The sequence below is a fragment of the Homo sapiens genome, chromosome 4 (assembly GCF_000001405.40).
Source record: "Homo sapiens chromosome 4, GRCh38.p14 Primary Assembly".
Classification (NCBI taxonomy): Eukaryota; Metazoa; Chordata; class Mammalia; order Primates; family Hominidae; genus Homo; species Homo sapiens.
The window spans coordinates 158,819,595-158,844,232 of NC_000004.12; the positions used below are offsets into that span (position 1 = coordinate 158,819,595).

At 40.2% G+C, this 24,638-nt stretch overlaps 1 protein-coding gene across 13 annotated transcripts in view; it reads left to right on the forward strand.

The window, feature by feature from the left end:
* The window catches only part of FNIP2 (folliculin interacting protein 2), a 139,025-nt gene that overhangs the window by 50,569 nt on the left and 63,818 nt on the right, over nucleotides 1-24,638 (forward strand). For 7 of the 13 annotated variants that reach the window (XM_005263158.3, XM_047416018.1, NM_001366843.1 and 4 more), the window contains exons 2-8: nucleotides 6,322-6,448; nucleotides 9,485-9,631; nucleotides 12,267-12,367; nucleotides 12,473-12,544; nucleotides 13,934-14,034; nucleotides 14,207-14,296; nucleotides 15,811-15,882. In XM_005263158.3, coding sequence (XP_005263215.1) covers nucleotides 6,322-6,448; nucleotides 9,485-9,631; nucleotides 12,267-12,367; nucleotides 12,473-12,544; nucleotides 13,934-14,034; nucleotides 14,207-14,296; nucleotides 15,811-15,882 — 710 coding nt within the window. Of the gene's footprint in view, nucleotides 1-6,321; nucleotides 6,449-9,484; nucleotides 9,632-12,266; nucleotides 12,368-12,472; nucleotides 12,545-13,933; nucleotides 14,035-14,206; nucleotides 14,297-15,810; nucleotides 15,883-22,275; nucleotides 22,359-24,638 lie in introns of those variants that run through there. The other 6 variants (NM_020840.3, NM_001346043.2, NM_001323916.2 and 3 more) reach the window with 2 other exon arrangements.

Below are 24,638 nucleotides of genomic sequence, written 5' to 3' on the forward strand. Positions count from 1 at the left end.
ACAGTCTTCCTGAGAGTACTAACATAGCAAAAGATAAATGAATTCCAAATCTGTTACTGCCATCTATTTACGTAAGTTTTTTCTTGAAATAAACAGCTTTTACTGGGTGGGAAATAATGTGTATTTTGTGCTGACAGGGTGAACTCTCATTGCTATGTCAAGCTTAATTTTCCCTTTTCTTCCACCCCCAGTCTTCATTTATTTTCAGGGTGTAACTCTTTGGGTCTCCCCACTCTTCTTGAGCAAACCTTTTGAGAGATTTCTGTTTGTACTTAGAAGGTGTTTTTTGAGAGAATAAGGAAACGGTGGAGGTTGGCAGAGAAAAAAGAATATAGAATAGGGTTAAAGAGTGGTTGGAAAATGTAACTGCGTTTCATAGGAGCAGGGTTATGGTTTGCTCATTGCTTTATCTCAGAATGCTTGCCAAGTAGTAGGCATACAGGAATTGCTGGTTAAATGGATAGTATTTTTGCCAGTTTTTGTTGTCATCATTATTGTTTGTTTTTGTTTTGTTTCATTTTGCCTTTTCTTGGACCATTGAAAGTTTCCTATCATTCCTGACTGTTTAAATATTTACCTTCTTGGATCACAAGACTGTTCTTTAAACTCTTTATGTAAACTTATTTTTGACTGTGTGGGGAGGCTTCCTTGTGTGAGACCAGGAGGAAAAACAGAGATCATGCTTTTTCCACATGGGGATACCCATGACCACTTCTACTCTGATTCCTGTAAAAGTTCAAGAGAAGAAACAACACCCACACTAGAACTGGTCTCAAAGGATATAGCAAATCACCCTGCAACATGTTATACAACTACTGCTCTTTTGCTTATTGGCCATTACTCCTTGAAACCCAGGATTTACAAGTCACTACTACCTCTGCATTTGCCCTGAAAATGGTCTTCTCAAATCACTTTAGTTCTCTTCCTAAAACACAGGTCAGATCGTGTCATTCTCTTTCTTGAAATCTTGGAATTGGCACACCACAGCTTGTAGAGCAACAGATGCATTCCTTGGCATAAAATTTAAAGTCCTTCACAAGTAGTCCTCAGGTGCCTTTCTAGCCTCATTTGCTGTGTGGTTCTTCTGTAGGAGACACATCCCAAGCACCCAGTGATAACTGTCTTTTTGTGTTTGTGCTGTGCCCTCAGTCTGCAGTGACTTCCCTGTTCATTATTCCTTCTGTGTCTTTGTCCAAAATTTTCTCCTTCTTAGGAGGACACCAGTCATTGGATTAGGGTGCCTACTAATTCAGTATGGCCTCATCTTAACTTGATTATATCTGCAGAGACCCTGTTTCCAAGCAAAGTCATATTCACAGGTATAGGAATTAGGACTTGAACATATCTTTTTTGGGGACACAATTTAAACTACAGTACATGGCTCTAGATATTTTAAAGAGAATTCTGTTTTCTGTGTTTCAGATCACTTGAACTAGTGTCTGTCATGTTTCAGGGAAGTAACTGAGACTTTGGTTCCTTGCTTTTCTAATCTTGATGAGTAGTTTCAGAAATGAGGCCTGGCTTCAATGCTAACCAGGCAAATCCTGGCATCATGGAATTTTAAAACCAAAAAGAGTCTGTATAAGTCATTTTGCTTAAATTTTACAATAAGAAAAGGTAGACAAATCATCTTCTCTTACTGTGCCTGAAGGCATAAAGTGGACATAAATAATACCCTGATGCCAAGGACAGTGTTCATTCTTTATGTTCAGCAAAAACAGAAATGAAATAATTCAGATTAGAATACATTTCCCTGAAGTGGTCAGCTATTTTTAGGCAAAAGCCCCAAGGCTTGTTTTCATACCCCTTTTGAATCATGCCGAGTGGCCCCAGTCATATGAAGAGATGTCATCAGTAAAGCACCAGGAACTGTGGTCAGTGCTCTTGGAAGCTCCACAGTAACTGTTGGTTGAATGTAGAAGTGAATGTGAATATGAAGAGAATATGTGTGCCATGGAGCTACCAATAGCTCAAGTCCTGTGTATAAGGGATGGCAGGGAAAGGGGCTGGGAGTGTGCTGGGAATTTCCATAGATTATCTCTTTTAATCTTCACAACAGGACCTATAAGTACTCCTAGGGGAGAAGTTCCCAAAACTATAAAACCGGTGGGAAGCAGAGCTGAGATTTGATCCCAAGCCTGTCTCATTCTGAAGCACTGGTGGCCTTTGTCCTGCTTCTGTTTCCTTTACCAAATTATGCAACTGTTTTTTCCTCTACTAATACTAAAATGTCAGTGTCTCACCGCACTTTGGGAGGCTGAGGCGGGCAGATTGCCTGAGCTCAGGAGTTTGAGACCAGCCTGGGCAACATGGTAAAACCCTCTCTCTACAAAAAATACAAAGAAATTAACCAGGCATGGTGGCACATGCCTGTAGTCCCAGCTACTTGGGGGGCTGAGATGGGAGAATTTCTTGAGCAGGAGGTTGAGGCTATGGTGAACCGAGATGGCGCCACTGCACTCCAGCCTGGGCAACAGAGCAAAAACCTGTCTCCAAAAAAAGGAAATGTCAATGTCAAAATTATATTTATGTATTAAACCAAAGACAGTATTCATATGTAAGAAGAATAGAGTTTTCCTCTTTTTTTTTTTTTTTTTTTTTGAGATAGAGTCTCCCTGTGTTGCCCAGGCTGCAATGCAGTGATGCGATCTCAGCTCACAGCAGCCTCGACTTCCCGAGCTCAGGTGATTCTACCACCTCAGCCTCCGCACTCCAGTAGCTGGGACTACAGGTGTGTACCACCGTGCCCAGCTAACTTTTTGTATTTTTAGTAAAGATGGAGTTTCACCCTGTTGCCCACAAACGCCTGGGCTCAAGCGATCAGCCGGCCTCGGTCTCCCAAAGTCCTGGGATTACAGACATGAGCCATTGTGCCTGACCGTTTTGTTTTGTTTTGTTTTTGTTTGTTTGTTTAACAGACGGGATCTCACTCTGTCACCAAGACCAGAGTCGGAGTGCAGTGGTATGATCATGGCTTACTGCAGCCTTGAACTCCTAGGCTCAAGTGATCCTCCCACTTCAGCTTCCTAAGTAGCTGGGACTACAGGTGTATACCATCACAACCAGCTAATTTTTAAAAAATTTTAAACAGTCTGGGTCTTGCTATGTCATCCAGTCTTGTCTGGAATTCCTGGGCTCAAGAGATCCTTTTTGCTTCAGCAACCTAAGTAGCTGGGATTACAGGTACGAGCCACTGTGTCCATCACTCGTATCTTATAAAATACTTTTAAAGCATTTGGATCAAAAAATGAGACAATCTGAAATACATACTTTTCCCCTCTGTGTCTTTTTAAAAATTTTTAAATTAAAAAAATTATTTTTAGACTCCTGAATCAGAACAATTGTCCATGATTTTTATTTCCATCCTTTTTTCATTGAAAAATAACATGAAACATTTAATAAGGTGTTATGATCATGATTAAATTTTATCTCTTCTAAAGTAGCTGTTTTCAGTTTGATATTTGAATATGTGTTATTCTTCAAAAATAAGGATTGAACAACTTGGTTATAAATTATAATGCTGTCTTGGCAAAATGTAATTATTAGGGCAAAATTCATTTAAAAGAAAATGCAAGGCAATTAAATCTGATTTTTTTTACTTTTAACAAAATCAACATATGTACTATGTTATAATAATATATAGCTTCAGAGCCTTTTTAATGACCTCATTTTATTTATTTATTTATTTAGAGACGGAATCTCCCTCTGTCACCCAGGCTGGAGTGCAGTGGTGCGATCTCGGCTCACTGCAACCTCTGTCTCCCAAGTTCAAGCGATTCTCCTGCCTCAGCCTCCTGAGTAGCTAGGATTATGGGTGCCCACTAGTGCGCCTGGCTAATTTTTGTATTTTTAGTAGAGATGGGGTTTCACCGTGTTGGCCATGGTTGGCCAGGTTGGTCTTGAACTCCTGACCTCAAGTGTTCTGCCTGCCTCGGCCTTGTGTAATTTTAAAATTTAGTGGTCTGGGTCATAGTCATCAGACTGTGTTGATTGTAAGTGACAGTGAACTAATTCCAGGAATAGTGCTTACTCAGGAACAGCTGGCTTTGGGTACTGCCAGGAATCTGTTTCATTCTATTGCTCACCTCTACTTTCCTCCACGCAGACTTTTGCTGACTTCATTTTCAGACAGGCCCTTACTTCATGATGGCAAAAATAGCCACCACCAACTCCAGGGTTACCATTTACAAGCTGAACAACTGAGTTTTGGGGCTGGCTCACACAGCCAGCTTGGGTCATGTGGCCATGTCTCATTAGCCAGACCTGAAACATGGACTCCCTCTGGACTGAGAGTAGAGGGAAGATGGTTTGAAAATAAACTTGGCTTATTATTATCAAGATTAGGAGGAAAGGATGCTGGGCGTGATAACTTAGGGCACAGCTTGTTGAAAGAAGGTACAACCAGAACTTTATATGTTTTGCCGTAGGGATTTAAGAAAACAAATCTGCTACCCAAAAAGAACATGTTCAGTATTAACTGCCTGAAAAAGGAAAAGACCAAAAATGCACAATTTGTGATTGAGTACCAGACACTGTATTAATTTTCTTTAAAAATCATAACATTACCAATCCTCTGAGGCAATTATTGCCATTTTGGAGCACTTACTGTGTGTCACACTTTGTGTGAGGCACTTTACGCTTTGTAGGACAGCTTTGTGAGGGCAGCCTTAATATTCTCATTGTACTGATGAAGAACTAGGAGGCCAGAGGCATTTGGGTTTGAATCCAGATGTGTCTTATTTCATTTATATCATCTCCTAGTTTTACAGTTTGCTTTTGTTAGTCTGTCTGTGTGTCCATCTATCCTCCTCTGTCCTGTCAGAGCTCCCCCTCAGCTTCTCTAAGCAAGGCCCCCTTTCACCTCGGGCACCTCTCCAGTCCATTGGGAAACCGGCTCAACTCTGTCCTCTGAGCATGCCACCAGTGTCTGTCCCCTTTCCCCCACCTCTGCTGCTGGAGCTCTAGCCTTCATTATGAAGGGCCAGAACTCTTATTATGAATTCTGTTTGGCCTTCCTGCTTCCAGTCTTCATCTCTTCCACCCCCATTTTCCTTAACAGCCAGATTGAACTTTCAAAAAGTGCAGACCTGATCTTATCAAGCGTCTGTTTTCCTTGGCTTCTCATGGAGGGAGAACATGATCCTGGCCCCTGCCTGCCGTCCTTTCCACCTCACGGCACTCACTCTCTGGCCTTTTTTCTTCTTCCTTCTCCAGTGCAGCAGTCTTACACCTTACCACCTCCTTCTCTGTTCCTATGGTGCGCATCATTTGTTTTGCTTCTTCAGGTCTGTGTTTACATGTCACTTCAAGTCCTTAGGGACTTCTCTGTCCCTTTCCCCTACCCCTTCAATCTGGAAATCTGAAGCTGTTTACTGCTCCTTTTTGTACTTTTCACAGTTTGTAGTGATACATTCGTCTGTGATTATTTGCCTAACATTCCCCACTGAATCATGAACTCCATAAGGGTGGGGACCAGGTCTGTCTGGTTAATTAATTGCTGAGTCTCTAGCAGCAACCACAGTGCCTGGAACATCACAGACACTCAAATATGTGTTGACTGGACTGATGGGTTAAAAACTGAGTATATCCAAAGCAGTGCACTTTTAAATGATTATCTTTTCTGTAGTTCCCTCACTCTGTAATTTATTAAGAATGAACCTATGTTTTCCTCAGAGCAGTTTTATCCCAGTTGCTTTTGGTTTGCTTAGAAACATGCTTCCTTTCTTGCTGACTGTAATTGCTAGCAATTCCAGTGCTCTACAGTGATGCACTTGGTTTCTGAAACTCCTGGATTAGAGCTAGCCATAATCGGGGAAGATAATAAATTTTAGGGTATGTAATTCCTCTTAATTTGACCTGAGTGTGGGTGAGGGAAAGAAGAGAAGGCTCTACCGACTTGCTCCAAATGGTTCCCTGCCCAATAACACAGAAGCCTTAACACTCCTTTAACTCGGATATGCTGTCCCCAGAACCCAGGCATCCAAATTTAGTCTTCTCTGCATGTCCTTGTGATTTCTGACTGCCATCTGTGTCCAAATTGGCTTTGGAAGGAGAAGCTTTCTCTCCAGTGATTTATTATTTAAAGCAGTCTTCTCAGCCCTTATCATGAAAACTGGCAATTTTCATATGGCCCTTTGGAATCCACATACAAGGCTATCTGTCCCAGGCTCACTGGTGCCCCAGTTCTGAGGGGATCACTAGCCCTGCATGCTTGTGGCCTTTTGATGTGCACACAGGCATGGTGACTGGGAAGCTTATCTGTCTGTGATCATCTCATGTGCTGCAGATAACATAACTTCTTTTGCCCTTTTTAATCCACAGTTGGTCATGTTCGGAGTTTGACCTGAATGAGATTCGCCTGATAGTTTACCAGGACTGTGACAGGAGAGGCAGACAAGTCTTGTTTGACTCTAAAGCTGTTCAAAAGATTGAGGAGGTGACAGCTCAGGTATGAAATGCTGATTTGCTTTCTCCTTTTCTTTTGTGCTTTTAACCACCCTTCTGATCAATCATTTATTAATCTATCATCTTCTCTTTGAGTTATATTATACAGTGCCATTAATGGTTCAGAAGAAACATAAGCAAGCATTGAATCCTTTAATCAAAGCCCTACCCCCAACAGGCATGAGTATGCTCACTGCTAAACACAAGTGAAACTGTTAGCAAGTAATCATGGCAGGAGCTAAGCAGTGTACTATTAATAGTACTAGAGGTAAATTTGCTGGTGAGTTGCAATCCAGTAAGATTTTGATGCCAAGTGAGTGCCTCAAATGTAATGGGAAAGCAGAACTCTAAAATTCATAAAGTGATAAAGTGTTAGTGTGAAGATCATTCTGTCCAGTGTTTCTCATGGATAATAATAAGTAGCACTGGGTTAAACAAAATTAAACAGCTTTGCTTATTTACAGGACTTCCATATGCAAACCTGCATTGTTATCTTCAAAAAGGATTGTTTCTCAAACCCTTCTGACCAGGGGAGCTTTTATTTATTTCCCATTTTTTTTGTGGAGAGTTGGGTGGTAGTGGTGGTGGTGGTGGTGGTGTAGGGTGGGCGACAAGCAATGGGTAGAGTGAGGATAGAGCAGCTCTTGATCCCTTGGAACCAGAATGGGAATGGTAAAGTAACATGTTTAAGGTGAGGAGAGTCTGATCCTTTCTGGGTCTTTTTTGGATATGATACCAGGGTACTTGTAAATTCACTTTAGACCTTTCATTCTCTTTTCAGTATTTGTTCAGATGCCTACAAATTAAATAAATCCACTTGTATTCATTCTTTTTATGTTCAATAAGTTGCTACCCATACTGACCAAATACTGGCAGTTTGTAGAATGTGCAGCTAAGTAAATGAACAGTTTATAACGCAGTCTTTGTCTCATCAGGGCCAAGGGGTTGTTTTCCTGCTTTTGATAAGGATCATTTCTGCAGGAAGGAAGTGTTTGGTTAAACACAGTTTAGCTGGGTGGATTCCACAGTGTTTTAAAGTGGAGTTCTGCCAGGTGGCTAATCATTACAGTAGTTGTTGGGCTTGTTAGGTAGGTGAAGGGAGGGAGGGGGAAACCAAGAAATCTCTCAGGTGATTCACTGTAGGCTTTCCAGGTTAGATTTGTAACAGAAATTTAGGTGAGCCAGCACTTGACCCTTTGGTGGACAGGAGATGGTTTACCTCTTAGTTTCTTGAATTATTTCCCATTTCTCTGAAGGCCTCACATGGATGGTCTAGTTGAGCAGCTATCACTGGGGCTGCTCATAGTGGTGGCAGGTGGAGGGGAAAAGAAACACAAGTTTTCAAAAGGAACTGGAATCTTCAGTGTACCAGAGCACTGATAATGCTGGAATCTGGAAACATAGGCTTTCTTAGAAGCATTCATCTAACCAAAAAGGCATCTTAGGTTCAGGAGGTTTGTAGCTTGCCCAAGGCTACAAAAGAATCCAGTCAGTGCTCTATTCACTACACCAGGTGGTTTCTCCAATTATAGACTGTTCAGCATTGTACTCCAGCCAAAGGGTCTAGCAGTCTGAAGCAGTGGCACCTCGTGTCACTTAGGCCCTCTGAGGGGCTGTGTTTCTGGCTTAAGTGAGATTGAGTAACAGCTTTATCTTTAGCGTGTTGAGGGAGTGCTGGGTGCTCAGGAATAATCAAGTGCCACTTTGAATGCCATCATTGCTGGAGTGACAGTTGTGGTCCAGCACATTTTGTGTTTTCCTTACGTTCTTTTCCCATTTTCAGTCCCCACCGCCCCAGCCTCCCTTGGCAAGCACAAAACGTCATGAGTTTGTATCAAGCACATGACTGCAGGCATTTGCATTAGACCACCAGTGTGACTGTCACATTGGAGATTAGATAAGCTGCAATTGCATTCATGTTTTTTTCCAAGCAAAAGCTACACAAGGAAAAAAAAAAGGCAAAGAAGACTCAGAATAGAAATAACTTATCATAGAGGGTGCAGGAAGCTTCTGTAGGGAGTAATATGTTTGGGGAGAGGTAAATATTAATAAAGGTTTATCCTTATACGTTTGTCACTGTGATAAAAATTAGTGGCAAACTCTAGGGAATGTATAGTAGAGCATCCTCTGTTGTCTTTAACCTTTGAAGACCATATTTCCATCACATGCTATGTAATTCACAGTAGCTCCTGTTTCAGGGTTTTGGTTTCATCCCTTACAAATTCAACCTCATGATTTTCCTTCCTGTTACCTTTAAAGGAGTAGTAGAGGAGGTGTGTCATTAAAAACACAAGTAGGCCGGGCGCGGTGGCTCACGCCTGTAATCCAGCACTTTGAGAGGCTGAGGTGGGCAGATCACGAGGTCAAGAGATCAAGACCATCTTGGTCAACATGGTGAAACCCCATCTCCACTAAAAATACAAAAAAATTAGCTGGGCGTGATGGTGGGCACCTGTAAGTCCCAGCTACTTGGAGGCTGAGACAGGAGAATTGCTTGAACCCGGGAGGCACGGGTTGCAGTGAGCCGAGATCATGCCGCTGCACTACAGCCTGGCAACAGGGTGAGACTCCATCTCACAAACAAACAAACAAACAAAAAACCCTACGAGCCAGTCTGCCCAAATTAATAGTTTTGTTTTATTAGTTCCATTTGCTTAGTAAAAATTTAGATTTGAAGCCTCATCTTTCTCCTCATCAATGTAATGGATTATGACTCTACATAATACTAAAAAGCTAATAATCAAAACTCAAATAACCAAAACAGAGGTCAATTATGTGAATTGAAGTGTAAATAATAGTTAAATTATTAAAAGAGGATAAAGTCTTAATACATAACCTACCTCCTTTTGTCTAGAACCCTTCTTCAGCATTCTGCCATCCCAAACCATGTTTTTGTCATTATTGGGGAAAAAAAAAAGCTTCTGTTTTTTAATGCAACCTAGGCACCAGAATGCTTTTAAAAAGGAATTCCCAATGAAGAACTGTTGACGAACCTGATATACTTAGTAATCTTTTACCTTGCCTGTCTCTCTTAACCTAGAAAACAGAGGATGTTCCTATTAAAATATCAGCCAAGTGCTGCCAGGGAAGCAGCAGTGTCAGCAGCAGTAGCAGCAGCAGCATCTCTTCCCACAGTTCTTCTGGGGGATCTTCACATCATGCTAAGGAACAGCTTCCAAAGTACCAGGTACAACCATCCCTTCTGTGGGAATAGCCCCTGAGGTTAAAGTTATTTACTGTAATTTCTCCTTGGGAAATAATGCCTGCTCGAGGGCTCTACTCCAGGAATATGAGGACAAGTATTCAACAGAGTACTCTTAAATGTTTCACATCGATGTTGTTTTTGCTCTTTGGCTTTTATCTCCAATAAAAACTGTAATCAAGCAGAGGTAATACAGCCTACTGTGAACTGGATGAGGAAGAAATATTGCCAGTCAGGTAAATTACCTTGCTTTGTTTCCTTTGCTCTCTGATCCAGAATAATAAACATGTACTTTCCAGTTTTGTTATAAGAATTCCTAAGGATTCTGGGAATGTATATGGGCATCCTAAGAAAATAGAACATACCAGTAAAAGGAAGAAAGCCTTGTATGGGAACAGAAAGAAATGGCAAGATCTAATCTGAGTATGAAGGATAAAAGGCTGATGGCATTTTTTACACTGTGTGTGTGGGGTGTGTGTGTGTGTGTGTGTGTGTGTATAAGGATAGGGGTTAAGGTTATTGAGAAATATTGGCTAACAAGATAAAAAGGAAGAAATGTTTTATAAATATTGAATGGCAAAAGAATATTAATTGATGGAGGATATATTGAACTTTTTCTTAAACCCATGTAGAATCTTTTCTACTATTTTGCTGGAAAAACAATACTAGGGAAGTTACCAGCAAATGGGTCTGGAGAACTTTGTTTTTTCATAGTTAGGATTTGTGCCATGCATTTGCCCTTTTTGAGACACAGTGCTCCAGGGTCTCACAGCAGTCTGCAGTTTAAAAAGTATGGAGTAGAATTTTCAGCAGGTTGAGAATCACAGTTGGCATGTGGCCCTTGTACCCCAAGAAAAAGCAGATTATAAATGAAGGAGGTGGGTGGAAGTTAGTAATAAAGAATGTGAAAACCAGTTGGTTTCTGTCTGCATATAGTGGGAAGAAGTTGGTTTGAGCTATAACGAGAGAGAGGAACCTAGCTGAGCAGGGCTGATAGATTTATCTTTCTTTTTTTTTTTTTTTTTTTTTTTTTGAGACGGAGTCTCGCTCTGTCGCCCAGGCCGGACTGCGGACTGCAGTGGCGCAATCTCGGCTCACTGCAAGCTCCGCTTCCCGGGTTCACGCCATTCTCCTGCCTCAGCCTCCCGAGCAGCTGGGACTACAGGCGCCCGCCACCGCGCCCGGCTAATTTTTTGTATTTTTAGTAGAGACGGGGTTTCACCTTGTTAGCCAGGATGGTCTCGATCTCCTGACCTCATGATCCACCCGCCTCGGCCTCCCAAAGTGCTGGGATCACAGGCGTGAGCCACCGCGCCCGGCCCAGATTTATCTTTCTCTTTCCGCCTCTGCAACCGTGCATAAGTAAGTGTGTATTTGTGCGTCAGCGTATGTATGCTTGTGTGTCTGTGTGTGTGTATGTATTTGGAGTTTTAAAAAAAGATTTGGAAGAGTATGTTAAGGGTGATTCCCATGTTTTTCCTTGGGTGGAAAGCACACTGACAGAGAATATAGTTGGCAGGTCGGGGTGCAGAACCATGGTTGCTTTGGTGGCACACTGGTTTGCTCAGCATTCATACCTGTCCTGTTCATCATTGTGTCACTAGCACTTAGCACGGGTGCTCAGAATTCTGCATCCCAAGACACTCATTCAGATGTCACTAGGTGAATGAATGTATTGGGGTATACGATTCTAGAGCTCCAGGAGAGCTCTTGGTCTAGAGACAAAGATGTAGGAGGTATTCTATGTAAATAATAATCAAAATCAAAAGAATAGTTGAAAAGGCGGGCAGTTAGTAGGGTTGACCTCCAGGCAAAACCACAGTAAGGGATGATCTGAGAAAGAAGAGAGTCAAAATGGAGAGTCATGAACAGCATCAAATATATTGAGAGAAGTTTAATAAAGCAAACTGGAAAGGGTCCATTGGATTTGACCAAGAGGGAGGAGGTCATCATTGGAGCAGTTGAACTAGTTTGAGCTAAGAGGTAAAGTCAGGCTGTGGTAGATTAACAAGCCAGTGAGAGTAGAGGAAGAGGAGGCAGGCAGTCCACTCTTTGGTTGGTAAAGGCATGAGAAAGACTGGTCAGAAGCTAGAGGGGTCAAATGTTGTTGAAATACTTTTGTAAAACTTCAGAGTTATCAGACCATCTGTTATCTTTTGGGCCCTCATAAAACCCTATCTGCAGCAATGGGCATTTTTTATTCCACATTGTTAATTATTTGGCTGAATAATACCGAACCATATTTTTTTCAGGATGTTTTCTTAGTACCAAGAGAAGAGTTACAGTTATTTTCATAATTTAATCTTTGTATTTAGAGTTTATAAATGGAGATAATAGTAATCTTTGTTTCTCATAACACAAATAAAAATGAACTCTAATAAAACACTTGGATCCTAGGTGATGATGTTGTGTACAGAGAAGAAATCACAAACATTAGTAATACTTTGGGGGGGAAAATAGGCAATCGCCATTATAAGTTAAGATTGTAAGATGACCACTTGAAGCTTTGAGAAATAGTTTTAATCACCGATGACACTAACGAGATTAATAAACATTATTTTCTGTTGCATTGCATGTCATGTTCCATGTACTAACTTTGATTTTGTTTTCTTGCATGTAGTACACAAGACCAGCTTCCGATGTCAACATGTTAGGGGAAATGATGTTTGGCTCAGTTGCCATGAGTTACAAAGGCTCCACCTTAAAGATACACTACATACGGTGAGTCTGGGCTTCCTTTTCTACTAGTTTTGAGAAGTGGAACGGTGGTATTGACTCCTTAACTCATAAATTTATTTTTCCCCTCTCCTTTTTTCCCCTCCACAGTTCTCCTCCACAACTGATGATTAGTAAAGTCTTCTCTGCTAGAATGGGCAGCTTCTGTGGAAGTACAAATAAGTAAGTGTAGGATTTTGCATTCCCCACCCCCATTTTTTAAAGTGTGTATTTCTAGATAGACTAATTCTTTAAGGGCCATAAGGCATTTTGAAATGACAAGCAGAATGAGTCCAAATTAACAAAGGGGCTTTAAAAGTGGCTACTGTCCTATAAACAGTGAGTGGGAAAAGACCTTTGACTTTATTAGGTGGCCCTAAAGACAAATGGCTGTCTTTATATGTTTTGAGTCTCCATCTGTTACCCAGTCACCAATTTTTAATTTCCTGGGAAATCAAAAATAAAGAACAAAAGGGAAGGGGCTACATTATTCTGAAATATCTGAGAACTTAAACTCATTTTGGCATATTCATTCATGTATTTTGAACTTTCAAGCAGAAATATTTCATATACTTCATTTTTTAAATAAAACAACAAAACACCAGTTGTACTTTGATAAGTTTGAAAGAAGCGCTTGTTATAAATTAAAGGACATTCTTAGGGGTCAAGTAAAAGCTGTTTTTTCTTATCCTGGGAAATTAAAAATATTTCTCTATATATTTGAATACCATTAAGTGAGTCTTGGCTTACTCTTCAACAAAACAGTTTGAACATTTAACATTGGAATGTCATGACTTAAGCCAATATGAGAATTTTTATTTATTTCTTGCGAGATTTGTTTTTAACAGACCCTTGGGATTACCTGAACGTTTATTGCATTAATTCCCTTACGTGCAGATTTAAGTAAAAATTATTTTGCCTTCATTATGCTGTATTATTCTCAAAGTCTTTCTGTCGTCGTTTTTGTCAGCTCTACACACAGCAAAAGTCTTTAATTGTTAATAAATACAATAAATTATTAAAATCTGCTTCCCTCACATTTTTATGAGTAATTCTTTTTAGAAGTTGTGAAATGAAACTCCTGTAAGAATTATAATTTCTGTTGCATTTTATTCCTGAAAAAAGTTGCTGAATTGCTCATTGATGTTAACCAAGAGTAAAAATTAATTTCATTTTGAGAGTTTATGTAAAATACTTAAAATGAATGTCAACAAGTTGGCTGTCAGTTGCTAAAGCAAAATGTAGAAATGAATAACAGTATCTCGGGTGTCAGTCACTGAAGCAAAATTTAGAGTTTGGTGTCTCATTATATTATATGAAATTGTTAGAAGTACAGTTGTTTAGTTACACGGGTTGAGCTACCTCCAAAATAGCTTTTGTTTTCTTCCAACAAATTCACCTGAAGTTGCAAGTTTAATTCCCTTTGGTAGATGTGAGACTTTGTTTATAAAGAAAAGTATTGAGTGACTGATCAGTCGTTGTCTATATTTGGAAGTCTATTAGAAAACAGCTTTAGTAGCTTCTTGACGTTTTTGTCCTCTTTCTCCTTTTCCCCCCCATCTCCGGATATAGCTTGCAAGACAGCTTTGAGTACATCAACCAAGATCCTAATTTGGGAAAACTGAACACAAATCAAAATAGTTTGGGTCCTTGTCGTACTGGAAGTAACCTAGGTAAAATCAGAGATACAAACAAATTCTTTCTTTCTGAATACACTATTGTGGGTGTGTGTTTTGCTTTATTTGAGTTTGTCGTGGGTTTTTTTTTTTGCGTTATCTTTAATCTGTGTTTATTTTTTTTGTATGTGTACTTTGTTTGCCCTCTTCTATGTGTTTCCATCTCTAGGTCTGCTGCAAGCATGCAGCAGCAAACTGCTGCAGGGGGTAGCTGAAGGAGGACCTCTCCGGCTCACCCGGAGTGCTTCTTTCTTTGCAGGTTTGTGTGGAATGCTGAGTACAGTGTGACCCACACATATTAATAAATCCTGTGCAGGTTCTTAGGAAAAATCCTACTTGTGCCTCTCTAGAAATCCAAGGGGCTCTTGTGATCACAGATATTGGTTTCAAATGCGGCCAAATCCATGGTGTTTCGAAAATTCTGCCAATGAACCTCTCTTGTAAATGTCTTCGCTAATACTCTAGTGTAAGCTGATTTTGATCTGAAATGAGCCCTTAGTATTTCCAAGAGGATTGTTTTTTTCTGATTTTTCTGGGCCTCTTCTGCTACTATGAACTGTTTCCCTTTGCCTTGGTGTCTTTTATCCATTTATTCAACTGCATCCTTACCTGCACGGAGTTTCATTAAAAGTCACTCTAATAAGAGCATGGAAGACTTCTCTCTCTCTCTCTCTCTCTCTCTCTCTCTCTCTCTCTCTCCCTCTCTAAGTAGTGTAAATACAATTTCTAGGTTATTTACAGGTATAGTCATCTTGGTGTCTCTGAGATTTAACTTGTCTTAGCATGATTAAACATGTGAGGAACCTCCATTACTAACATTTAAAGTTGTGAGTATAGCAAATGGTATTTTCCTTTCTGTTCTTTGTAGCCTGAAATATGCTAAGCACCATAGTTAACTGACACCCTGATAAAATTGACACGCTCCTACCTACTTAGAGTGAGGAAAATGCATTTAAATACTCTCTTTAAAATTGTGAAAATAAACATGCTTCAAAAAAATAGCTGTCAAGTATAATAATCAGGCAGAGCACTGGGCTGCTTGTCCATTTAAAACTTCACTACAGCAGCAGCATATCTACCTTCTAGCACAATAAGTATACAGCTTAGGTCAATCTGAAGCATTCCTAGAAGTCTGTAATACTTCAGAGTGTTTTCCACAGTTCATGCCAGAACATGAGTTTTTCTAAGTAACTCTACAATAATACTGTGTATGGGTGTATATGGAAAGAAATGGAGGAAGAAATATTTGAAAATGAGTATAAATGTTTTCTATCTGCCAAGAGAGTGGGTTATAAACAGAGAAACATTTTTTGAATTTATGAAATGGTTTTCAAGTATTTCTCTTCCCTAAGTCGCCTACAGTTACTACCAAAACTGATTATAAAGCATTTTGAAATACATTGCTATTTAAATACTACTACTAATGAGGAAAATGGCTAAAAAAAATTACCTGAGAATGTTTATTCATTGCATCAACTGCACGAATCATTTATTATTCAGAGTTTTTTTTTTAAGAGTTGAACATCACTCAGAAAAGTTTGTATGCTTACAATTGAATACAGGCAGATTTTTATGAGATGGTTACTTGGTTCTCTTTTCTTCTCATCATCTTTTTATATATTTAATTTTGCCTTCTAGTTAATCTCTATTAAAAGCTTATGCCAATCATCAGTAGCAGTAGCCTACTTTGAAATTTAAAAATTACTGCAGTCATTTTAAAAACTTTATCTCTGAAGAGCCCAATAACATGGTTTTCTTGTTCCTTTATCTTAGCACACAGCACACCAGTTGATATGCCAAGCAGAGGACAGAATGAAGACAGGGACAGTGGCATTGCTCGATCAGGTACTTGTACTCTGTTTATTGGTTTAACTAACAGAGTGAACTATCTACAGTGGTGTGGAAGGTGGGAAAGTAGAAGACAGGTAGATAACCCTCATCCTGTTCTTTGTTTTTTCCTTCCTAAGATAGTCTGACATATCTAAAGATCTGAAACTTTAATGTACAGTATCCATGAGTGATTGTGCAACATAAACTAGTTTTTTCTAACACTCAAATTTATATGAGACTAATGTTTGTTAAGAAATTTCTTTCCAGAATGAAGCTTCCTTGAGCCCATTGTACTAGTAATGTGCTTGCTTGACTGTTGAGTATAGACTCAGAGGAAGAGAAGGGTTTGTGGAAGTAAATCTGTCCTGTGACAGTGGGAGGACCAGCCAGCTGACCTGGTCACCGTTTCTTCTGTTCTAGAGACATGCTGATCTAGATTTTATCAGGTACCCTTCTCTCCTTGCCTCAAGGCCTAAACCTTTCTGTTACTGCTTTTAGGATCTGTTGGTTTCACCTTTTGTATGTGACCTCTTTTGAGTTTTGACTTGTGGTTCAGATCTGAGATTTTGTATTATAAGAGAAGGGTGGTGAATGAGTGAACTGAAATTCAAGGACTGGAGGTGGTGTGTGGTGCTCTGCTTGATGAATACATATGGTACAGGCAGCCCCTACCTTCCAGTGAGACTAGGAGCACCCTGCTGGTTTCTCCTGTGATACATGACACCTTCAACAAATGGGCCAGCCAGGCGTTGCTCAGACTGGATGCAGGCCTCACATGATGTTCTTCTTGGCCTTTCACTCATTTCTCTGTCCACACTACTCCAAGGTCCTTGTGCTCCTGTGTAGCCTCAGAGCCTTTTAACCCACTCTGTGCAACTCTGCTCTTGTGTTAATAAATGAAATGTGATTTGTTACTGAGTCTCCAGTTTGGTTTACATATGTCACATAATGTAAAGTAATAGCATTTTATTTATGGTTAAAATCGATGTGTTTTGGTGTTCATAATCTTTTCTGTAAAGTTGAGCTGGGAACCTTTGGTCAGAAACTCTCATTGATCAGGCCGAGCACAGTGGCTCACCCCTGTAATCCCAGCACTTTGGGAAGCCAAAGCGAGCAGATCACTTGAGGTCAGTTTGAGACCAGCCTGACCAACATGGCGAAACTCCATCTCTACTAAAAATACAAAAAAAAAAAAAAGAAAGAAATTAGCCAGGCGTGGTGGCGCATACCTATAGTCCTAGCTACTCAGGAGGCTGAGGCACGAGAATCATTTGTACCTGGGAGGCGGAGGTTGCAGGGAGCCGAGATTGCGCCACTATACTCCAGGCTGGACAACAGAGACTCCGTCTCAAAAAAAAAAAAAAAAAAAAAAAAAAAGAGACTCATTGATCAGACCTGTATCATTTTCACTTACAGCCATAACATAAAGTCTGAGAAGATAAAGGGAAACTTATGAAGCACTAAGTAAACTGTTTTGCTTTTGTTTCTGTTTAATGGTGCTGAAGATAACTCCTCCAGTCTTTGTGGGACACTGTCAGATAACTGAGTTCCATCAGTTACTCAAGGACAATAAGCATGTGTTTACAGAGCTTAGTGTCCCAAAGCTCGGCTCCCTGCCTTTGTAACCACCTGCGACCCAGCCCCTGACAGGACTGGCACTAGGGCTTTGTTATGGTTGACTTTCCTGGCAAGAAGATGTATGTGGGCCTTACCAGAAGTCGCAGAGTGGGAAGCACAGCCCCTAGAACCAAGATCACTCTTAGTCAAAATGGCTGTCTTAGTGGGTGACAGAATTTAACATATTTGCCTCTGTGTGGTGGGAGCTCTTTAGCTCTCTGTGAAAGAAAGAAAGATGAGCAACATTCTACTGGGGCCCGTTCTGAACACTGACATCACAGTTTCTGCACAGCTGTAACCTTATTTATTTGTTTATGCCCCTTTTTGTTGTGGAGAAAAGATTCAGGGAATTTGAGGGACCTAACAAAGAAACATTATTAGGAAAAGTTTGGATTTTCCTAGGTAACTTTTCAGTTTATAATATAGTTCATATAAATGGTTCATGTTGTACAGGTTGAAATCTTACTTGTTTTGTATTCAGATTCTAAATTGCTCCTGAAACTACTTTTCCTTGCTCTTTGAGAAACAGGAAAGTTGGGAAGCCAAGTTCAAATTAAAGTAGAAAGTCAGATTAAAAGTAAAGATTCAGCCAGATCAGAATGCTTTTTTGCAGTCCATGAGAGGAACTAGGGACTGACCAGATTGGAGGAAATGGGGGATAGGTGTTGATACCAGTGTGAATTTTGAAAGCTGGAGAAGGCTGGCTTTCCTTGGTAGTTTGACTTCTATTCTGGGCAGTCTTTACTTCCAGTCTCTGGTTCTCCTGTTGGGAGGAAGGGAGCACAGATGGTGGAGGGGGCTGCAAATGGCCCTGAGTGGCATTTTGCTCTCCCTGCTATCCTGGTAGATGTGTTTACCTTCAGATATCATACCTAGGAGTGGTTCAGAAGTCACAGAGTCCACGTCAAGACTAGTGTGAGCTTCACACCTGTGGTGGCATTTAGCACTCTTTTAATGTAAGAACTCTTTATGTTCACACTGTAATTTGTTCGCTAAGATTTCATCTCCTTATACCCATCTAAAATTGTGTAGGGATGAAGGCCCAAGTTCTGAAACAGAGCAGGAGCTCCAAGTGTGAGAGTTAAGTTAGCAGTAGAAGATGTAGAGAAATTAAAGACATAAAGATATTATTTATTCTCTTTTAGGCCTGCTTTTTTTTTTTTTTTTTTTCTGGCTCTGTTGCCCAGGCTGGTGTGCAATGGCACAGTCTTGGCTCACTGTAACCTCTGCCTCCCAAGCTTAAGCCATCCTCCCACCTCAGCCTCACAAGTAGCTAGGACTACAGGTACATACCACCACACCTGGCTAATTTTTATATTTTTGGTAGAGATGGAGTTTCGCCATGTTGCTCAGGCTGGTCTGGAATTCCTGAGCTCAAGCAGTCCACCCACCTTAGCCTCCCAAAGTGCTGAGATTATAGGTGTGAGCCACCACGCCTAGCCTAGGCCTGCAATTTTTAACTTCCTGTCCAAATAGTTGATAAATGGGGAAATTTTTAAAAATAGTTTTATTTTCTAGAAGTTTTAGACTTACAGAAAAATTGAGAAGGTAGTACAAGAGTTCCCATATAACCTGCCCTCAGTTTACCCTATTATTAACATCTTATATTAGTATGGTATATTTGTTACAATTAATGAACCAATGCTGATACATTACTATTAGCTAAAGTCCACAGTTTTTTTTATTTCCTTAGTTTTTCATCTAATAGCCTTTTCTGGTTCTGGGACATTACACTTAGTTGTCATGTTCTTCAGGCTTCTCTTAGCTGTGGTGGTTTCTCAGATTTTCTTTGTTTTTCGTAATCTTGAGGAGTACTGGTTAGGTATTTTGTAGATTGCCCCATTATTAGAATTTAATGTTTTTCTCATGATTACACTGAGGTTGTGGGTTTGGGGAAGGAAGATCATAGAAGTAAAGTGCCATTTTCGTCACATCCTATAAGGGTATATATCACCAACATTATTTATGACTGTTAATATTGGCCTTGATTACCTGGCTGAGGAAGTGTTTGTCAGTTTCTCCACTGTAAAGTTACTCTTTATTTCCTCCTGTCCAGGCTGTGTACTTTGGAGAGAAGTCAGGATGCTTACCCCATACCTAAGGGGTGGGGAATTATGCTGCCCCTCCTTGAGGACAGAGTACCTACATAAATTATTTGGACTTCTCCTGTGTGGAGATATATCTCTTCTCCCATTTATTTGTTTAGTCATTATTCTACTATGGACTCAAAGATATTTATTTTTCACTTTTGGCTAAAACCCAATACTACTTCATTTCTATTATTTATTTATTTATTTTTTGGAGACGGTCTTGCTTGTCCCTAAGCTGGAGTGCTCTTGTGTGATCATAGCTCACTGCATCACTGCAGCCTCGAACTCCTGGGCACAAGGGATCCTCCCTCCTCAGCGCCCTGAGTAGCTGGGACTACAGTCATGCACCACCACACCCAGAATTTTTTTTTTTCTTTTATGTAGAAACAAGGCCCCACTATGTTGCCCCGGCTGGTCTCAAACTCCTGGGCTCAAGCAATTTTCCCACCTCACACTCCCAAAATAGTGGGGTTACAGGCATGAGCCACAGCACCCCACAACTTCATTTATTTGTTGCTCAAATTGTTTCGGTTTTGACCATTGGGAGCTCTCTCAGTAGGCTCCCATGCTCCTTTAACATACCTCTATCTGTGAGGGGTTGGGGTGAGTATTTTGAGCACTTCCTTACTTTCTGGCAAGACAAGATGCTCCAGAGTCATCTTATGTATTTCCTATCCCTGTCCTAGAATCAGCCATTTCTCCACTTATAGAATGTCTTTGGAAAAAGCAGCACAAGCTGGGGCAGGTATGGAGGGAAATGCATCCTCATTGTATTCTCTTTTGGATATTTTGAATATGTCTTCTTTACATATACAGATCCAAAAGATAGCTTTTTAAGGGGTTATTCTAGTGGTTCCCATTAGAAATTTTCAAGTAGGGTCTTGGGAGAGAAGAGGGTTGGGTGTCAGCCATACTAGGAGGTTGCATCAGCAAAGTTCAGTGATTAATGGGACACAGGTTATGGAGGAGGAAGGAGGAACCAAGGATGCATCTCCAGTTTCTAACCTGAGAAAGCGAGTGGAAGGTGAGCATTATCCAGTACAGGGAAAGCAGGAGGCCAGGTCAGGGAGACAGATACTGAGATAATTTTCTAGCTACAGAGATTGGGATACATTTTTACCTAGAAATGTCTACATGTTCTCCAGTTGTGCATAGTCAGCTGTAATTTAGAAATAGGAAACTGGCTCTAGTGAGATGGGTTGGAGTAGAAGCTAAAATTTGTTTTTTTGTTGTTGTTTTTTTTTTGAGACAAGGTTTCGCTTTGTCACCCAGGCTGGAGTGCAGTGGCGCAATCTCAGCTCACTGCAACCTCCGTCTCCCAGGTTCAAGCTATTCTCCTGCCTCAGCCTCCCAAGTAGCTGAAATCACAGGCGCACACCACCACACCCAGCTAATTTTTGTATTTTCAGTAGAAACGGAGTTTTGCCATGTTGGCCAGGCTGGTCTCAAACTCCTGACCTCAGGTGATTCACCCACCTCAGCCTCCCAAAGTGCTGGGATTACAGGTGTGAGCCACCGTGCCCAGCCAGAAGCTAAAGTTTGGAAGTCTTGAGTACATGAGTAGAGTAAGGTTCAGAGGGCTGGGATTGAGACCAGTGTCATCAAGCCTTGTCTATTGACCTGAATTCAGCTTTAAACTCTTCCTCGTCAAGGTGTTCACATCATTGATAAGAAAAATACTTTTTCCATTCTGTCTGCAACTGCATTTCCTCTGTTCTTAAAAGTGGTAAAATAAAGAAAGTCAGTATAAGGAGAACTTACAATATATACTTTTAAACATTTTTATTTAAATGCTTTGAAATGAACTTTCAGGGTAAGAATCTACATTATCATAGTGTTCAAATAAGACATGTGTTTTGGTCACTCTGCAGATACAGGATGTATAACCATCCAAAATTTGGTGTAGATGTCAAGATTGATGACTCTACATGCACACACCAAGAGGATATGAAAAGGTTTATTACTCACATAATGAGGCTGTTCTGGGGAGACAACAGGGTGGGGGCTTCTCAAGCTGGTTGGAGAATGTCTTCAGAGAATGGGACAGGGGATTACACTGGGGATTTTATGATGGTTGCGAGATAAGGCTGGGGTGAGGGTTCCTGCATATGGTTTGAAATTCTCACTGGTACCAAAGGAGTGAGCACCTGGGCTTTCCTCATCAGTTTGCCCAGGTGTGGAGCAGAAAGGGAAGAGGGAGAGGAGGGTAAAGCTTAAAAGCTATCAGGAGTTGAACATCAAGAAACAAGTCAGGTTCTTTATTACAGTGTGGGACCATTGAATAATGAAGGATGGCATCCCGTTTGTACGTGAACCCTTCACCAACTGAACTGATAGAGTGCTTTGTAGAGAGGAGCAAGAGCAAAGGAGGGTACTGTTTTTATTTATTCTTTGTGTCAGGGAAAAGGCTGTGACACCCCATTGACCTTGCACAATTCCATACAGGCAAAGGCTTAAGCTGCATCTTATCTGAGCCCTGGCAGTACAACTTGATCCTCTTGGAACACTTCCCTAACTTCCCCGGGAGGCTGTCATGATAGTTTCTCATCCACTCCAGAGTTCTGATGAGGTATGGGACTTTCTGCCCTACCCGCCTCAGACTAGAGCTGCAGTATATAAAAGCATGTAGCTGCAGTCTAGAACTGACTCCCCAGCAACGGGATATCCCACAACTTGCCTTGTAGGCATCTGGCCCCTTTTGTGTTGGTGTTGTCCTTTTTGATGTATGGGGCAAAGATCACTGGGAGCTGGCACCTTTGGCTTATTCTTCTTTTCACTGTCTATGTAAGTAATAAACTATCCAAATCTAAAAGTGCCTGGTTGTATCTTAACCATCGAATCTTGGCCTTGGCCTTAGCCTTGCTTTGCCTTGTCTTTATATATGTGAGCTTGATAATCTGTAGTGTGGCTCAGTTTCTTATTTCTTTATATTTCTCCTATTTCAGATGTTTGGTATTTTCCTGGCATGGATATTTATCTTTTTCATTTCCACAAATTTACTTGGTCTTTTGCCTTAGCTTTTTCCTTTCTAAATTTGCATTCTTACATACCTGTTAAAGAAAAATTAGAAAGTAATGAAGATAGCAATAAAAACTGTAAGGGATAAAGGAATAAATCTAAGAAAAAATATGTGATACTGGTATTGAGAAATTGTAATAACTTATATTAAAAGAAGACCTAAATAAATGGAGCGATACATCAAATTCTGCAAATTAATCTATAAGTTTAGTGTAACTTGAATTAAAATCCTTTGTGAAGCCAGACTAAATAACTTTTACTTAAATGAAATAATAAAGGACCACATTTTTATGCCCTCCGTAAGTCTTTTGTAGACACCTCTTTCTTAGAGCCCAAACTATAAATAAAAGACACAGTACACTAGAATAATTTGACATATAAATGCGCAGAGTGAGTTGGTTACCAAGGTGGCTAGCATTTATACCTTAGATAAATTAAAATTTAAGGTGTTTTAGCATACAACATATCCACGTAACAAAACTGCACTTGTACCCCTTATAAATTTTTAAAACCTTTGTATAAATTTTTTTTAATTATACAAATTTTTTAAAAAGGAAAAAATTTAAGATGTTTTGAAATCAAGGTGGTAAGAACATTGGCTTTTTATTAAAGGGCCTTTATAGGAATTTTATTAAAACTTTAAAGTACCTGTTTGGCTTTTGAGGACCCTTTAAAGTCCTAAAATCATTTTGTGATTTGGGAACTATAATGTATTCCTTATAATTTGATTTTCCTATTAACATTTTTGGTTTATTTTAAATGAAATTTTCCTGCTAGACAATAATTACAGCTATACTCATTTACCTTTTAAATGCTCCTGTGTTTGTGTGTTGAGAAATACAATTGCTAAACTTCGAGGAACCTTGTATTTTTGCCAGTGTTTCAAGCTAAAACTTGAAGATAAGTAGTGTCATATTACAGTAAACAAAGATCATTATTGTGTTGTGGATGTAATACCCCCTGCGTCAAACATATATAAAAAGTGCTCAGATTCAGAGCCATACTATCACTTATGCCATCCAAAAAATTGTTTTTAATGAAGACAGGGGAAAAAAGAAAATCTAAATGCCGTATATACTGTGTTGGCCACAGGAAACTTTTAACAAATTCAGTATTTGAATTCTGTCCAGAAATGTGTTTCTCTAATGCTTCATTTCTGTCACACTTGAAGAGATGGGTATCACTGTCATCCTGCACATACTGTTTGCTCATTCTTCATCCAGCAGCGTTTCTTGAGCACCTCATGTGGCGGACATTTTTTTCTAGGATATGAGAATAGATCAGTGGTCAAATGGATATTATCCCTGATCTCACAGATTTTATATTCAATAAAGGAGAGACAGATAATAGACAATAAAATGTAGGCAACCACTTACCACTGAGGAAAAGAAAACTTATGGAAGGCCTCTCTGAGAAGATGACATTTCAGCTGAGACTTGAATGGCAGTAGGGACCAACTATGTGAAGATCACAACAAAGAGCATCTTAGGTACGGGAAGGGCTAGGGCTAGTGCAAAGATGTATCGTGGGGATGGGAGAGTGGTGCAGAATGAGCCTGGAGAGGAAATAAGGGGTCTGATCCCACTGCTACATTTTTTATTTTGATGGGATTGTTTCCACATGTATTTGAATGGCTGCTGAAGACAGAGAAGAGTTAGGAGTTCTCTGCAGCATCCTTTCCCTAGATGTCTCCTTGCAAATGAAAATGCTTGGCAGGGCATAGATCTGTTCTAGGGTCCTGCCCTGATCATTTGCTGTAGCCCTATTTCCTGGACAAAGTCTGAGGGTGCTGCCTGTTTGGAACCGTGATCACATTTTTCGGCAGAATAAATAAGCCAACCTCAAAACTTTTTCCTTTGAAGAAACTGGAGCTGCTTCTGAGTGCTTGACTTCTGCACCTTCTTTCTCGACTTACCACATTATGTGGTTATGTTGTTAAATCCTTGAAGACTTTTGTTTGTTCTTCTTCTCCCTCAGAGTGTGAGCTCCATGAGGGCAGAAACCTACCCAATCTGTCATATTAACAGATCTGTTCCCAGCAGCTCA